The following is a 17,482-nucleotide window of genomic DNA, read 5'->3' as shown; positions in this document are numbered from 1 at the left end:
ACGGTGGGGTGACTGCAGCCAGTAACAGTGTACTGCATACAGGCACACACTACATGACCACGTTTTGGTTGTTGACAGATTGCATATATGTGGTTCCGTAAGATTATGATACCATATTTTTTACTGTACCTTTTCTCTGTGTAGATATGTTTATTTGTTTATTTTTTTGAGACAAATTCTCCCTCTGTCACTCAGGCTGAAGTGCAGTGGCATGATCTTGCCTCATGGCAACCTCCACCTCCCGGGTTCAGGTGATTCTCCTGCCTCAGCCTCCTGAGTGGCTGATTACAGGTGCCCACCACCTTTCCCAGCTAATTTTTGTATTTTTAGTAGAGATGGGGTTTCACCATGTTGGGCAGGCTGGTCTCGAACTCTTGACCTCAGGCGATCCGCCTGCCTCGGCCTCTCAAAGTGCTGGGATTACAGGCGTGAGCCACCGTGCCCGGCCTGTGTAGATATGTTTAGATACACCTAGCATTGTCTTACAGCTGCCTGCAGTGTTGAGGATGGCCACATCCTGTACAGATTTGTAGCCTAGAGCGATAGGCTCTATCATGTTATAACCTCAGTGCATAGTTAGGCTATACCAGCTAGGCTTGTGTCTGTTGCTCTGTGATGTTCGCATGATGATGAAATTGCCTCATGATGAATTTCTCAGAACGCTTCCCCATCATTACGTGACACGTGACTGCATTTCAAAAGTAACAAGAGGCTGGGTGCGGTGGCTCACACCTGTAATCCCAGCACTTTGGGAGGCTGAGATGGGAGGATTGCTTGAGCTGAGATGTTTGAGACCAGCCTGGGCAACATAGTGAGACCTCATCTCCACTAAAAATAAAAAAGTTAGCCAAGTGTGGTGGTGCATACCTGTGGTCCCAGCTACTTGGGAGGCTGAAGTGGGAGGAGCACCTGAGCCCAGGAGGTTGAGGCTGCAGTGAGCTGTGATCAAGACTCTGTTTAGAAAAAAACAGTGGTGAAATACACATTAAACTTCAAATTGCATATTTGTACCATTGCCTGATAACAGCAGGCTGAGGGTGGAGTAGGGAGATTTCAGGCCGCGTCACAGCATCAGGCCAGGGTGGCTCACACGGTGATGTGTTGGCTCCGCTTCAGGTGATTCCCAAGGACTACAAAACCATGACTGCGCTGGCCAAGGCCATCTCCAAGAACGTGCTCTTCGCTCACCTGGATGACAACGAGAGGAGGTAGGCAGACTCGTCCCCTGCCCCGGCATCACCGCCGCCCTCCTCGGCCTCCGGGAGGTGGGCAGGTCCCGCCACTTGCCTGGGCATCACTGCCTCCCTCCCTGGCCTCCAGGAGGTGGGCAGCCCCCGTTGCTCGCCTGGGAATCACAGCTGCCTTCTCCGGCCTCCGGGAGGTGGGCAGGCCCCGTTGCTTGCCCAGGAATCACCACCGCCCTCCTTGCCCTCCGGGAGGTGGGCAGGCCCCATTGCTTGCCCGGGAGTCACCACCACCCTCCTTGCCCTCCGGGAGGTGGGCAGGCCCCGTTGCTTGCCCGGGAATCACCACCGCCCTCCTTGCCCTCCGGGAGGTGGGCAGGCCCCGTTGCTTGCCCGGGAATCACCACCACCCTCCTTGCCCTCGGGGAGGTAGGCAGCCCCCGTTGCTCTCCTGGGAATCACCGCCGCCCTCCCCGGCCTCCAGGGAGGCTTTGCCGTTTCTCTGACTCATGGGCCATGGAATACAGAACGCTCGGCGCCAGGAGAAGCGTGTCACAGCTCTCAGGAAACGTGGGCTCACCACGCAGGGGTGGCTTCCCGAAATACTATGCTGCGTGCACCTGCCCTGCTGCCGAGCTGAGTCCCTGCTCTGGGAAGGCCCGGCTGCCTTCCTCAAATAGGGGGTCTGGATCTGCGGTTCCCCCGCGCGCTATACCTAGGCAGGCACAGGTGGTGTGATTACCGTGGGCTTCGTGTTCCGGCCTCTTCCGCATGCATGGATATACCTTGCCGTTGCTAAGCTCACAGCCTCGTTGGGGAGATGGGGCCGGGATGTACCTTTCCTGCGGCTCCTGCCTGTGCCGGGAGCTCGGAGGCCTGAGGCAGGAGGTGACAGCAGATGAGGTCTGCAGGGTCGCAGTGAGGGGACAGAGGAGGTCAGGGTTATTCAGGGAGAGGGCTGAGCGTGAAGGGGCTTGGACGCCATGTGTGGGGATGTTGATCATAGACATAATTGGAAAAATTGGAAAATTTTGAAAAGATTGAAAGCAAAAATGTCTCCATCTGATGCCTAGGGATGATCCTTGGGGATATTTGGGGGACAGGCGTTAAGGATTGCCCTTGTGCACAGATCCCGTCGGTAACAGCATCTCATTCTACCCTGTTTTCCCATACTCGGGGCGTCCTCAACACCTTTCCATGCCAGTTAGCGTGCTGCAGTTGTCTTGTGCTGTCAATTTCTATGTGAATTAGCTGTTTTCCTACTGCGGCTGTTTGCATTTTTTAAATCTCTATTATTATTATTATTTTAGACAGAGTCTTGCTCTGTTGCCCAGGCTGGACTGCAGTCGTATGATCTTGGCTCACTTCAACCTCCGCCACCTGGGTTCAAGCGATTCTCCTGCCTCAGCCTCCTGAGTATCTGGGATTACAGGATCCCGACACCACGCCCGGCTAATTTTTGCATTTTTAGTAGAGATGGGTTTTCACCATGTTGGCCAGGCTGGTCTCGAACTCCTGACCTCATGATCCACCTGCCTCGGCCTCCCAAAGTGCTGGGATTACAGGCGTGAGCCACTGCGCCCGGCCTGCATTTTTAACTTTATGAACATTGGGTGGTCATCCTTGTGTTTTCATCTTGGAGTACTTGTTCGTTTCTTTCTTTGAGATAAATTCCTTGATGTGATCAAAGGATGTGTAACATATTGAAAATTCTCTCTTTTAAAACAATTTTTTGACAAATTATAATTCTTTATTACATTAACTGAGCATATTTTGATACTAGTCCTATATAAAATCTAAATGACCTCCATATGTATAAAATACAAAGAGAAAGTGTCTTTTTCTCCCCCTCCCGGAGGGCAACGGTGTGGTGGTCTGGTGGGGGCTCCAGCCGCCCTGTGTGTTTGCAGGCGTGTGCCCGTGAGTGCAGGTGGGGACCCTGGGAACACACTAGACGCATTGTTCTCTGCTGTGCTCCTCGCCAGTGATGGGGTGATGGGTCTAGGAAGTCCTTCCATATAAGTACAGATCTAATTGTTGTGCGTATCTGCACAGCGTTCCATTGTAAGAATGAATCAGAGTTTATGAACTGCTGCCTTTGCCAAGGTCACGTGGGAGGCTTCTGATTTCTCCGTGCTCCGATGTTTCCGTGAGTAGTGATGCTGTGGTTAGGCAGGAGACTCCTGGTATTCAGGTTGCTGGGTCAGAGATTGGCCTGTGAAGATCCCGATGGGTGTTGGTGTGTGTGTTTTTAACAGGCTTTTGATACATTTTGCTGGAATCTCACTCAGAAAGGGTGGCAGGGGCTGTGCAGAGGAGTGGCCTTCAAGGGTCTTGGCACCCAGCCACTCACATCATGCTGAAATACCCTATCTTATCCAGAGCATGTGGCTGGTTCAGGCTGGATACTTTGGGTCCAGGGTGCCCAGTTACCCCAAGCAGGAACACCTGTTGCTTCTGTGGTTGAGCAGTGGTTAGAGTAGCTGAGGATGGCTGGGATAGCTGTGTGTGGCTGGAGTATCTGGGTGTAGCTAGAGTAGCTAGGCATGGAGAGAGTTAGCTGGGCATGACGAGTGGCTAGATGTGGCTAGAGTAGCTGGGTGTGGCTGGAATAGCTGGGTGTTGCTGGAGTAGCTGGGTGTGGCTAGAGTAGCTAGGCATGGATGGAGTAGCTAGATGTGGCCAGAGTAGCTGGGTGTGGCTGGAATAGCTGGGTTTGGCTGGAGTAGCTGGGCATGGCTGCCTACTCGAATAGCTGAGTGTGGCTGGAATAGCTGGGTTTGGTTGGAGTAGCTGGACATGGCTGGAATATCTGGGTGTGGCTAGAGTAGCTAGGTATACATGGAGTAGCTGGGCATGACTGGAGTAGTTAGATGTGGCTAGAGTAGCTGGGTGTGGCTGGAATAGCTGGGCATGGCTGGAGTATCTAAGCATGGATGGAGTTGCTGGGCATGACTAGAGTAGCTGGATGTGACTAGAGTAGCTGGGTGTGGCTGGAATTCAGGATTAGCCTGGACATGGTTGGAGTAGCTGGGTGTGGCTGGAGTAGCTGGGCATGGCTACTCCATCCTGGGAGGTGTCCAGGCCCCCCAGGATACCCACGACCTAGTCTCTGGGACCTGGATGTGTCATCTTGAGTGGCAGAGAGGGACTTTGCAGATGTGATGAAGTGAGATTCGAGGTGGGCGGGTGGCCCTGGGTTTCCCAGGAGGGCCCTGATGCCATCACTTGTGCCTTCTAAGGGGAGGCAGGAGGAGATGCCACACACAGAAGGGGAAGAGGCCATGCAACACAAGGCAGGAGTTGGTGAGATGTGGCACACGCCGAGGAGGGCCGCAGCCACCTGAAGAGGCGAGGAGGGGCCTGCCCGGGGCCTCTGGAGGGCGTGGTCCTGTGGCACCTTGATTTCCACCTGCTGATCCTGGATCTGGACTTCTGGCCCCAGAACTGCAGAGACGATACGTTTCTGTTGTTTCAGGACCTGCTGTACTTGCTCACAGCGGCCCTGGGATACGTGCACAGAGGTGTCTGCCTGGCAGTGGTGAACCTGGTCACCAGGAGGAGTCAGATACTGAAGAGCTGAAGACTATTTTTTTTTTTTTTTGAGATGGAGTCTCACTCTGTTGCCCAGGCTTCAGTGCAGTGGGGCGATCTCGGCTCACTGCAAGCTCTGCCTCACAGGTTCACGTCATTCTCCTGCCTCAGCCTCCCAGGTAGCTGGGACTACAGGCGCCCGCCACCATGCCTGGCTAATTTTTTGTATTTTTAGTAGAGATGGGGTTTCACTGTGTTGGCCAGGATGGTCTCGATCTCCTGACCTTGTGATCCACTCTCCTCGGCCTCCCAAAGTGCTGGGATTACAGGCGTGAGCCACCGCGCCCGGCTGAGCTGAAGACTATTTTAACTTGAATTTATTTTAACTTGAATTTAAACATCAATTTACAATGCAATTGAAATGTCGTTTTTGAACGGATATTACGTTCACCCGGTTGAAAATTCAGTTTGGAAGATCACGAAGGGACCCTGAGGAAGAGAGAGCCCTTTCTGGTCCCAGCTGCGCCTTGCTAGAGCCTCTGCAGCTCCCTCTTTGCAGACAGAGTCAGCCCTGAAGCGGGAGGTCCCTGGTCCACAGCTGCTGGCCACACAGACCAGCTGTCCATTCTGTGTGTGTGTGTTTTTTTTTTTTTTTTTTTTTTTTTTTTTTTTTAAAGACAAGGCCTTACTCTCTCACCCAGGCTGGAGTGCAGTGGCACCATCATAGCTCACTGCAGCCTCGGCCTTCCGTGCTCAAGTGATTCTCCTACCTCAACTTCCTGAATAACTGGGACTGCAGGTGTGCACCACCATGCCTGGCTAATTAAAAAAAAATTATTTTTTCTTTTTTTGAGATGGAGTTTCACTCTTCTTGCCCAGGCGGGAGTGCAGTCTTGCAATCTTGGCTCACTGCAATGTCCGCCTCCGGGTTCAAGCGATTCCCCTGCCTCAGCCTTCCAAGTAGCTGGGATTATAGGCATGTGCCACCACACCCAGCTAATTTTTGTATATTTAGTAGAGATGGGGTTTCACCATGTTGGCCAGGCTGGTCTCGAACTCCTGACCTCAAGTGATCCTCCTGCCTCAGCCCCCCAAAGTGCTAGGATTATAGACATGAGCCATCGCGCCTGGCTATTATTTTTATTTCTAGCAACAGTAATGAAGACCATCCAACGTTTTCTTTTTCTGGCTCAAATATTCCCACATGTGGGAACAGTGCGGTGGGTGGAGCACAGCTTTGCACCTGAATTCAAAATTGGTTCAACAAGGCCGGGTGCGGTGGCTCATGCCTGTAATCCCAACACTCTGGGAGGCTGAGGTGGGCAGATCACTTGAGGCCAGGAGTTCAAGACCAGCCTGGCCAATATGGTGAATCCCCATCTCTACTAAAAATACAAAAATTAGGCTGAGCACAGTTGCGCATGCCTGTAATCCCAGCTACTCAGGAGACTGAGGCGGGAGAATTGCTTGAACCCGGGTGGCGGAGATTGCAATGAGCCGAGATCATGCCACTGCACTCCAGCCTGGGCGACAGAGCGAGACTCCATCTTAAAAAAAAAAACAAATTCGGTTCCACAGAATTTAAGACGACAAATACTTCCAGAGGATTCATTGTGTGCCAGGCTCCGTGCAGGGTTCTGGGAACACAGTGGGGGTAGGGAACGGGTGCTGTCCTCATGGGGCTGGCTCTTCCGGGGAGCAGGCAGCACACAGTCATGAAGCACATACATTTTTAGAGATGGTGTGTGGTGAAGGACATTGAGAGAGGCCTGCACGTCATAGAGTGGGATGGCTTCATTCAGGATGGGCAGAAAGGTGAGAGCCAGCACGGCTGTTCCAGGCATGGCACAGCTGCAGCAAAGGGCCTGGGGCCCGTTCCAGGCATGGCTGGGGCAGGGGAGAGCTGGTGAACACATGGTAGGACAGCTTTGTTCATTTCAGCAGGAACCTGCTGCCTGTGGGGGTGCTGGGGCCACAGGGAACAAGGCATCACTTGGAGGGTAGCCAGGAAAATGGAGATCTCAATGTCCTCCTGGGATTCAAATATGTGTCTTAACCTGGGCAACATAGTGAGACCCCATCTCTTAAAAAAATTACCCGGGCCTGGTGGTACACGCCTATAATCCCAGTTACTCTGGAGGCTGAGGTGGGAGGAGTGCTCGAGCTCAGGAGTTCAAGGCTACAGTGAGCCGAGATTGTGTCGCTACACTCTAGCCTGGGCAACAGAGCGAGATCCTGTCTGAAAACAAAAGCAGAAACAAAAAATCCCCCAAAACCCCACCCAAACACCCAGATATGTGCTTGGAGTTCCCAGGGGTTCTGGTGCTTCTTGGAACTCACCCGTCCCTCTGCATGGCTCGTTCCTCTTGAAGTAGCCACAGTGAGAGGCAAATGTTTGGGCGTGGGGAGCCCCCTGAGCTGTTCCCTCCAGAGGCAGCCCGTGAGCTTAGAGCTTATCAAAAGCCCGGCTCTGGCCAAATGACATCCACGCCCACCTTCAGAATCTGAATTCTGCGGAGCTCGATGAAGGCAACGGAGGGACGGAGAAGCGGTGGGTTGGGGAGGGTGGGTGGTGTTCAGGGCCCTTTAGAAACCCTCAAGTCCTCAACCTGAGGAAGAAGGAGGTGGACGGTCGCTTCAGCTCTTGACCCATTTGTCAGACAGAACCACTCACGCGAAATCTGTGTCCCCATCTTCTGGCTGATGAGCCTGGGGTCACTGAGAGCGCCGAGGTCGGGAAAGCTCTGGCTGAAGATGGGCTGGGATGTGCTGCAGCCACGATCATCTCCGGTATCTGGGGCTGATGCCGTGTCCTCGGTCCTGAGCCCCTCTGCCTGACGCCGTGGCATGGGGGAGCTCGGAGGCTGTCCTCGGTCCGGAGCCCCGCTGCCGGATGCCACGGCGTGGGAGAGCTCGGAGGCCGTCTTCGGTCCTGAGCCCCTCTGCCGGATGCCGTGGCGTGGGGGAGCTCGGGGGCCGTCCTCGGTCCTGAGTCCCTCTGCTGGATGCTGTGGCGTGGGGGAGCTCGGAGGCCGTCCTGGGTCCTGAGTCCCTCTGCTGGATGCTGTGGCGTGGGGGAGCTCGGAGGCCGTCCTCGGTCCTGAGCCCCTCTGCTGGATGCTGTGGCATGGGGGAGCTCGGAGGCCGTCCTCGGTCCTGAGCCCCTCTGCTGGATGCTGTGGCGTCGGGGAGCTCAGAGGCCGTCCTCGGTCCTGAGCCCCTCTGCTGGACGCTGTGGCATGGGGGAGCTCAGAGGCCCAGGCCGCCTAGCTCTTGGGCTCAGCTATCAACACGGGCTTCCATGTTCATGGAGGCACAGGCTTGTCACCACCTCAGCCCAGAATTGTCACATGTCACAGGTGAGCATGGGCCATGGACTGGTCCCCTGGCCTGGCGTGGTTGCAGGGATGCTGGGCAGTCATTCCCTGGGTGCCTAGGGAGGAGGAATATGAAGTGGGGTTTCATGAACTTGTAGCTCCATCTCATTTCCAACATCTGTCCTCCCTGCATGTGCAATGTTTACATCCAAACCCTAAAAAAATGGCACGTGGGGCTGGGCGCGGTGGCTCACGTCCATAATTCCAGCACTTTGGGAGGCCGAGGCGGGTGGATCACGAGGTCAGGAGATTGAGACCATCCTGGCTAACACAGTGAAACCCAGTCTCTACTAAAAATACAAAAAAAAATCAGCTGGGCGTGGTGGCAGGAGCCTGTAGTCCCAGCTGCTAAGGAGGCTGAGGCAGGAGAATGGCGTGAACCTGGGAGGCGGAGCTTGCAGTGAGCTGAGATCGTGCCACTGCACTCCAGCCTGGGCGACAGAGCAAGACTCCGTCTCAAAAAAAAAAAAAAAATATGGCACGTGGACCTGCCCACCAGCCTTCTCTCTCGCTCTTGTTTTCATTGTGGCAAATATATATCACATAAAGTTTGCAATTTTAACCTTTTCTTTTTTTTTGAGATGGAGTCTCACTCTGTCACCCAGGCTGGAGTGCAGTGGCGCTATCTCGGCTCACTGCAACCTCCGTCTCCTGGGTTCAAGTGATTCTCCTGCCTCAGCCTCCCGAGTAGCTGAGATTACAGGTGTGCGCCACCACACCTGGCTAATTTTTGTATTTTTAGTAGAGATGGGGTTTCAGCATGTTGGCCAGGCTGGTCTTGAACTCCTGACCTCAGGTGATCCACCCACCTCAGCCTCCCAAAGTGCTGGGATTACAGGTGTGAGCCACTGCACCCAGCCCATTTTAGCCATTTTTAAGTGTTTAATTCAGTGGCATTAGTTACATTCACAATGGTGTGCTGCCATCACCACTCTTTGTTTCCAAAATTTTCATCATTCCAAATGGAAGCCCCACACTTATTCAGCAGTCAGTCCTATCACCCCCTCCTGGGCCCCTGATAGCCCCAATTTACTTTCTCTTTCTATGAGCTTGCCTATTCTAAATATTTCATGTAAGTCATTATGGGACTTAAATGAACCATGATATATGACCTTTCGTGATGGGCTCTTTCACTGAGCACAGTGTTTTCAAGGTGCATCCACAGCATAGCATGTATCAATGCTCTCTTCCTTTTTCAGGGCCGAGTAATATTCCACTCCACGGCCACACCCCATTTGTGTATCCATTTGTCTGCTGATGGACACTTGGGTTGTTTCCACCTTTTGGTTATTGTGATTAGTGCTGCTGTGAACATGGGTGTGCAGGTGTCTGTTTGAGTCTCCTGGGCAGATGCTGATGGATGGAATTGCCGGGTCATATGGTAGTTCCATGTTTAGCTTTTTGAGGAACCACAGATTGTGCTTCCCTTCCAGCCTGACCGAACTCAGAGCCTCCCATTCCTTTCTGTGCCCTCTTGGTGGCAACTGCGTTTCAGCTAAACTCCTCAAATCCTTTCTGGGCTCCTCCCCAGCTCCCAGGCTCTAGGTAGGTTCAGTAAAGCTCTTATTTTAGGGCCAGCCTGGACCCTGAGTGTGAGCTGAGTCAAATGATATCTCTGGGCCATCCCAGCTGTTTATGTCCAGTGCTGGGTCCTGTGCCCTTGGCCCTGAGAATCAGAACGACATGCGCCCTCCATCTCTGACCCCTCTGGATCCGAGAGCTACGCGGACAAGAAACAGAGGAAGCAGATGGTTGGCTTAAAAACTCCTCTTTGTAAGGCTGGCTTGAAAAGGAAGCTTTTGCACAGGGTGTGTGTGTCGGTTTCAGCTCTTTTGTTTTGCACACAGGAAAACTCACTTTCCATATCGAAGCCCCAGTGGGCTCCTTTTTCTGGCCACGGTCTCTAAAGAAACAGGCTGATGGCTCAGGAAACCGGTTCCAGAGGGAGTGGGCAGGGGAGGGATTGTCTCTGGACCTTTCACGTGATGTCTCCCCTGTGCAGCATCCAGATAGTTTGCTTTTTCCAGTTTACTAGAAGCTGAGCTTCATAGCTTTGCCTCTGCTCAGCTGTGGTTTGGCGAGCAAAGCCAAATTCCTTCCAAGTTTACAGGGCGTCTGGCACACCCCTGACTTTGAGGCTGCCTGCTCTTCTTCTCTCTGCTTCCCCGCTTAGGAAGAGTGCGGCAGAGAATCCTTTGCAGATGCATCCACCTGCAGGGTTTGCACACCTGCTGGCCTAATGACCCCTCCGTACAAGTTCAGGTTCAAGACAGATATCCCCATCATCACAGGCTGTGTGACTTTGCTCTTGTCGATCCGTAACAGTGTGGGAGATACATAAGGTTGTGCGAGAGATACGTAAGCTTGGAGAAGGGTAGAAATTATGTTTAAGACCTTTGATTTAAAGGAAGATAGTGCAACGTGGTTGTGAGGGAGGCTGCAACTCCCCCAGACCGCCTGCCTGTCCTTCTAGGATGGTGGTATTGCTAGTTGGCCTTGATCGAAGGGTTTCCCTGGGCCTTTGCACAGGATCTGTGAGAGGCATAGTGTCAACCTCACAGCCTCAGTTTCCTTCCCTGTCCTTGTCCAAGGCCCCACAACTCCTCAGGAGCAGAGCTAGGGTTTGAGCTCGAGTTCTTGGGCACCTAAGCCTGTGCTCCCTCCCCTGTAAGGACACATCACCTGCACCTGCCGCTACCCTGCCTGCATGGTGAAGGAAGATTGAGAATGGGTGATTTAGGCATTGCCAGTGAGCGGGGTCCATACTGTCCTGTAGTGAACTGCAGCTGCAGGGAGACAGCTCAGGGGTGAGACAGGACCAGGAGTTCCCATCACACAGGTGTTGGGCTGGAGTGGTCTTATTCCCAGGCACGCCTATGCACACAGTCATGCACACACAATCTCACTCAGATACCACAGAATTTAAGGTGTGTTTAAAACATCTTTTGGAAGGAGAGAGTTGTGGATGTCATTTATAAGTAATAACATTCTCTGAGCCTCAGTTTCCTCAGGTGTCAAATGAAGATAATAAAACCTACTTTGAGGTTGTTGTGAGAATATAAAGCAAGAATATCTATGTGTGTACTGTTATCACCACCATCATTATCATCACCATCATAGTCATCACCATTACCATCATCACCATCCCCACCATCACCATCATCACTGTCATCATCACCATCATTATCATCACCATCACCACCACCATCCTCATCACCACCATTGCCATCATCATCGTTATCACCACCATCATCATCACCATCCCCACCATCACCATCATCACTGTCATCATCACCATCATTATCATCATCACCATCACCACCACCATCCTCATCACCACCATTGCCATCATCATCTTTATCATCACCATCATCATCATCACCGCCATCATCATCACTGTTGTGGTCATTGTCATCACCATCTTTCTGTGGCCCTTTGGCTGTGTGGCAGTGGAGTCCATGAAGGTACTTCTTCTGGATGGTGCCTTGCCCCTTGGAGGCTGGCCCGGCTATCCAGACAGACCCCGCAGTCAGGCCCCACTCAGTACTTGGTCTGAGAAAGAGGCTGGGGTAGCCTTGAGTCATTCTCTGCTCCACCCTGGGCCTGAGTTGGTGAATAGGCCGCTCCGGGCCTCCCAGCACCCACAGTCAGCAGGAAGATCCCTAGGAGGCCACCTTGTCCCCACCTCACTGTACTGAACAGAGCTCTGAGACCCAGTGAGAGGGGGCCTTGGCCTGTTGCACTGACCCACACAGCAATTGTCCAGCTGGGGCTGGAGTGGGGTGTCCTTATCCCCTGGGACGGCACCTGCACAGCCCCTCTGCAGAGTTGAGTAGCTCCCAGGGCAGGCCCCAGGGTGGTGGTAGGTGCAGCCTTCTCACCTTGTGTCAGCTATTGGAGCGAAGCAGATTCCGCATCCTACCTGGGGTGCCCGGGGCAGTTACGCCTCGGCCAGGGACCTCAGCAGCCTCAGGAAGCAGCCCCGCGTGCTCCGGAGCTCTCTGATGTGCCAGGACCATGAAGGCTGTCCCTGGAGCGTGTGTCCCAGGGAAGCAGCCCCGCATGTTCCGGAGCTCTCTGATGTGCCAGGACCATGAAGGCTGTCCCTGGAGCGTGTGTCCCAGGCCTTGGGGAGTGAGGTGGAGGCCCTTGGGTTCTATCCCGGTCCCTTCCCGGCTTTCCCTGATTAGGGCGCCTGTAGGGGGAGCATCGCTGAGCTCCTGGGAGCCGAGAAACGTGATAATTGGGTGGCACCGTGCGTGTTTGTGTTGTGCGTTGGGCCTCCGGCGGGGACCTCATTACTGGAGCTGCCAGACGGGCACAGGCGAGGGCACCTCACCCTTGAGGCGGCCTTCCTGGCAGTGGCTCCAGCTCTCTGCTGCTTTAATTAAAACAGGCCTCTGGCTTGAGCAGCACCGCTGGCCTGCGCAGCTGTCTGTTATCTGTCGCTGTTTCTCTTCCTCCCACCCGCGTATCTCTGCAGTCTGTTTTTCCACAAACTGGCTCGGATCCTCAGGTGATGGGAAAAACAAGCCCTTCTGCCGAATTCACGGGCAGCTGAAGGGAGCTGTCTCCTGGCTTCTCTGAGCCTTCACGGCCCCCTCTCCCCATTCTGGCTTGGGCTTTGGGACTTTCTGCTTCCCTTTCGGGCAACATTAAAAAAACAAAATTAGCATTTTGGAAAATGCAGGGCCTCATCCGAGGAGATGCTTAATGGCTTGAACATGCAAAGAATTTGATTTCCATTTGCAGAAAGCCCAGCTGGATCTCAGCAGAGGAGACCTTGAGGTTAGCAAATCAGGGGCCACGTGAGCCCGGGAGGCTTTAGAAGCTGAATTCAACGGAGGCTGAAGCCTGGGGTTTGAAGCTTGCATCAGATGATGTATGCAATGGCCAGTCCCTGGGCCATGGGCCTCGGGCATGTTGTCTTTCTAGAGCTCCCCCGTGGCCCCCGAGGCTGCCGTTTGGCAGGGGAGGCAGAGAGAGGTTAAGCAGGCTGCGTCGGGCCACCCAGCTTGGAGTAGAAGCTGGGACTTTGACCTGGCTGGGATGTGGCTGCTTGGGGCTGACTTGCCCACCGTGAATGCACACACAGCTCATTAACCTGCCGGGAAAAGACAACAACCTTTTTAAGAGAACAGTCATTTTCCACACGCCTAGCGTTTTCCAGCTAATAACAAGTCTCGTGGCCTGCGCCTGGAGCTGCGGGGCAGTTGCAGCTCTCCGTGGAGCCTGTTTCAAAGGGTCTCCAGGGCTGGCGCTATCTAATACCACAGTGACAACAAGCCCTCTTGCTTTGTCTGATTTGTGAGTGGAGAGAAGAACCTCAGGTCTTTCTTACCACTTCCCCCAGGTGATCGTGGCCTGCGTGGATCTTGCCTGTGGTCCTGGCTGTTTGGTGCCCTGAGATTTTTGTTTTTGTTTTTTTGAGACACAGTCTTGCTCCGTTGCTCAGGCTGGAGTGTAGTGGCACGATCTTGGCTCACTGCAGCCTCGACTTCCTGGGCTCAAGTGATCCTCCTGCCTCAGCCTCCCGACTAGCTGGGGCCACAGGCGTGCACCACCACACCCAGCTATTTTTTTTTTTTAGTTTTTGTAGAGACAGAGTCTCGCTGTGTTGCCCAGGCTGGACTTGAGCCTCCTGGGCTCAAGCGATCCTCTGGCCTCAGCCTCCCATAGTGTTGGGATTGCAGGCATGAGCCACCACACCCAGCAGCTGCTGTAACATTTTGAAACTTGTGGAATTTGGTGGTGTGTGGTCTCCGGTACCACATCTTCTGACCCCTAGCCAGTTCACGTTTTGTTGTCACTGACAAGCCCCTGCAGACCTGGGGGCTGAGATGCTGCACGTGGCCTCTGCCTCCAGCACCCAGTATGTGGATGGGGACCCGAGGCCCAGAGAAGGTGCAGGAAGGCCCACTGCCCCGGGCAGGGAATGGGGCTGTCCTTCAGATGGAGGGTGCCAGGGCAGAGGCTGTGTTCATGCAGGCCTGAGGCTAAGCCCTGGTGCAGCACTGGCCACTGTGCTGTGTCGGGGACCACATAGCGACCAGAAGGAGGGATGCACCAGCTTTCACATTCCGACGGACGCCATGGGTCCTGGCATGGCTCCATTCTTGAGCCCTGGTCACTAAAAATAGCCCCGTCGCCTGCCAGCGGGTGTGAGGAATTCACCAGCTGGCTGGGGATGGGGGTCTGTGGAGAGAGGCCAGGCGAAGGGAAGGTTGCGTGGGGAGGGCCCTCCATGGAGGGGAATGTAACCGTCGAGCTGGTCCTGGCCCTATGGGGCTCCTTGTAATACAAAGCATCTTGTCAGCAATTTGGTGACCCTGTTCCCACTTGTCGGGGGGGACCCTGAGGCTCAGAGACAGCGGGGGGCTTGCCCAGGTCACACGGTTTCCGTGGGAAAGATCAGCCCTCCTGAGACCAGGCCCTGCACGCCCACCTGTCTGCTCCCTGCAGAATGAGGAAGCCACTCCGATTCGGGAGGCAGTTGTAACTCACGCTCCCTGAGTTCTGCTTGGGGTCAGGTGTGTGGCTGAGAGCTGTGAGTGTGCTGTCTCGCTGTCCTGATGGCAGCCCTGAGGGCACGTGGTAACACTGTCCCCAAGTTCCAGGTGAGGATCTGACACACGGAGAGCTGTGGCCACCTGCTTCGGGCCACCGCTGCTGCCCAGACCACCACATGCACCCTGGTTTGACCACGGTCTGTGTAGGGCCAGGACCCTGGGACACAGCCGTCCCCTCCCCTCCTGACCGAGAGCCTTTTCTTTTCTAGTAGGGACCAGTATTTTAAAAGTGAATGGGCCGGGCACGGTGGCTCACGCCTGTAATCCCAGCACTTTGGGAGGCTGAGGCAGGGGGATTGCTTGAGCCCAGGAGTTTGAGACCAGCCTGGGCAGCATAGCAAGACCCCATCTCTACCCTCCTCCTAAAAATTAAAAAATTAGCTGGGCATGGTGGCATGCACCTGTAGTTGCAGCTACTCAGGAAGCTGAGGTGGGAGGATTGCTTGAGGCTGGGAGGTTGAAGCTACGGTGAGCTGTGATTGCACCACTCCTCTCTCCAGCCTGGGTGACAGGGCAAGACCCTGTCTCAAAAAGAAAAATAAGTAAAAATAAACACACATCAATAAAAAGTGGATTATTGTCTGGTTGTCTCATGGGTGTGATAGTTGCTGCTGGACCACTGAGGAAGTGACTGATTCTTCCCGCGGGTGGGCCCTTGTTCATCAGACCTAGTGAAACTTCAGCCACATCCACAAGGGATTTTCCAGGCAAAGAAGAGGGGGGACTAAGTTCCTGAGTGTCTTGGGGCCTCTTTCAGGACTCTGTCCTGTCTGTTCATTGAACACTCTTAGATCTTTTCTGGGTTTCAGTCTGTTTGAAAGCATCAGAAAATGTTAGGAAGGAAGAGGGTGATGAACAGGGTGGTGCTTCTGGAAGGCCCCTGCTGTGGCCGCTCCGAGGGTGAGAGCCTGGGCCCCAGGTGGTGGGGGGAGCTTTGGAGGCTGGGGCCCAGGACTCAGCATTGCTTGGAGGGTGTCCCAGGAGACTTGCTCAGACTCTGCTGTGGGTGCCCGTGGGACTGGAGGGGAGCTCAGGCATGGGGAGAGTAGGTATTTGGATCTGTTGGGGTGGGGACCTGTGCCACTGAGGGGAGAGTAGGTATTTGGATCTGTTGGAGTGGGGACCTGTGGCATGGCGGGGAGAGTAGGTGTTTGGATCTGTTGGGGTGGGGACTTGTGCTATGGGGGGGAGAGTAGGTAATTGCATCTGTTGGGGTGGGGACCTGTGCCACTGGGTGGAGAGTAGGTATTTGGATCTGTTGGGGTGGGGACCTGTGGCATGGGGGGGAGAGTAGGTATTTGGACCCGTTGGGGTGGGGAACTTGTGGCACTGGGGGGAGAGTAGGTATTTGGACCCGTTGGGATGGGGACCTGTGCCATGGAGGGAAGAGTAGGTATTTGGACCCGTTGGGGTGGGGACCTGTGCCATGGGGGGGAGAGTAGGTATTTGGACCTGTTGGAGTAGGGACCTGTGCCTTGCGGGGGAGAGTAGGTATTTGGACCCGTTGGGGTGGGGGACCTGTGCCATGTGGGGGAGAGTAGGTATTTGGACCCGTTGGGGTGGGGACCTGTGCCATGGGGGGGAGAGTAGGTATTTGGATCTGTTGGGGTGTGGACCTGTGCCATGGAGGGAAAGAGTAAGTATTTGGACCCACTGGGGTGGGGACCTGTGCCATGGGGGGGAGAGTAGGTATTTGGACCCGTTGGGGTGGGGACCTGTGCCATGGGGGGGAGAGTAGGTATTTGGATCCGTTGGGGTGGGGACCTGTGCCATGTGGGGGAGAGTAGGTATTTGGACCCGTTGGGGTGGGGACCTGTGCCATGGAGGGGAAGAGTAGGTATTTGGACCCGTTGGGGTGGGGACCTGTGCCATGGGGGGGAGAGTAGGTATTTGGACCTGTTGGAGTAGGGACCTGTGCCTTGCGGGGGAGAGTAGGTATTTGGACCCGTTGGGGTGGGGACCTGTGCCATGGGGGGGAGAGTAGGTATTTGGACCTGTTGGAGTAGGGACCTGTGCCTTGCGGGGGAGAGTAGGTATTTGGATCCGTTGGGGTGGGGACCTGTGCCATGGGGGGGAGAGTAGGTATTTGCATCTGTTGGGGTGGGGACCTGTGCCATGGGGGGGAGAGTAGGTATTTGGACCCGTTGGGGTGGGGACCTGTGCCATGGGGGGGAGAGTAGGTATTTGGACCCGTTGGGGTGGGGACCTGTGCCATGGGGGGGAGAGTAGGTATTTGGATCTGTTGGGGTGGGGACCTGTGCCATGGAGGGGAAGAGTAAGTATTTGGACCCGTTGTGGTGGGGAACTGTGCCATGGGGGGGAGAGTAGGTATTTGGACCCGTTGGGGTGGGGACCTGTGCCATGGTGGGGGGAGAGTAGGTATTTGGATCTGTTGGGGTGGGGACCTGTGCCATGGTGGGGAGAGTAGGTATTTGGACCCGTTGGCGTGGGGACCTGTGCCATGGGGGGGAGAGTAGGTATTTGGATCCGTTGGGGTGGGGACCTGTGCCATGGGGGGGAGAGTAGGTATTTGGACCCGTTGGGGTGGGGACCTGTGCCATGGAGGGAAAGAGTAAGTATTTGGACCCGTTGGGGTGGGGACCTGTGCCATGGGGGGCAGAGTAGGTATTTGGACCCGTTGGGGTGGGGACCTGTCCCATGGGGGGGAGAGTAGGTATTTGGACCCGTTGGGGTGGGGACCTGTGCCATGGGGGGGAGAGTAGGTATTTGGATCCGTTGGGGTGGGGACCTGTGCCATGGGGGGGAGAGTAGGTATTTGGATCTGTTGGGGTGGGGACCTGTGCCATGGAGGGGAAGA

At 54.6% G+C, this 17,482-nt stretch overlaps 1 protein-coding gene across 9 annotated transcripts in view, besides 1 other annotated feature; it reads left to right on the top strand.

Annotated features, from left to right (window-relative positions):
• PRKAR1B (protein kinase cAMP-dependent type I regulatory subunit beta) overlaps positions 1–17,482 on the top strand; it is a 179,738-nt gene that overhangs the window by 50,498 nt on the left and 111,758 nt on the right. For all 9 annotated transcript variants that reach the window (XM_047420607.1, NM_001164759.1, XM_047420608.1 and 6 more), the window contains one exon: positions 1,117–1,208. In XM_047420607.1, coding sequence (XP_047276563.1) covers positions 1,117–1,208 — 92 coding nt within the window. The remainder of the gene's footprint in view (positions 1–1,116; positions 1,209–17,482) is intronic.
• Positions 2,337–2,511: a silencer, noted in NCBI's record as "fragment chr7:715563-715737 (GRCh37/hg19 assembly coordinates)". NCBI's record gives its function as "represses an EF-1alpha promoter that drives an FKBP-Casp9 reporter gene in an ReSE screen in K562 erythroleukemia cells {active_cell/tissue: K562}" and the evidence as "EXISTENCE:reporter gene assay evidence [ECO:0000049][PMID:32094911]".

The sequence above is a fragment of the Homo sapiens genome, chromosome 7 (genome assembly GCF_000001405.40).
Source record: "Homo sapiens chromosome 7, GRCh38.p14 Primary Assembly".
NCBI classification, from domain to species: Eukaryota; Metazoa; Chordata; class Mammalia; order Primates; family Hominidae; genus Homo; species Homo sapiens.
The sequence above is the reverse complement of the archived record's forward strand: the minus strand, read 5'-3'. Positions and strand labels throughout refer to the sequence as shown.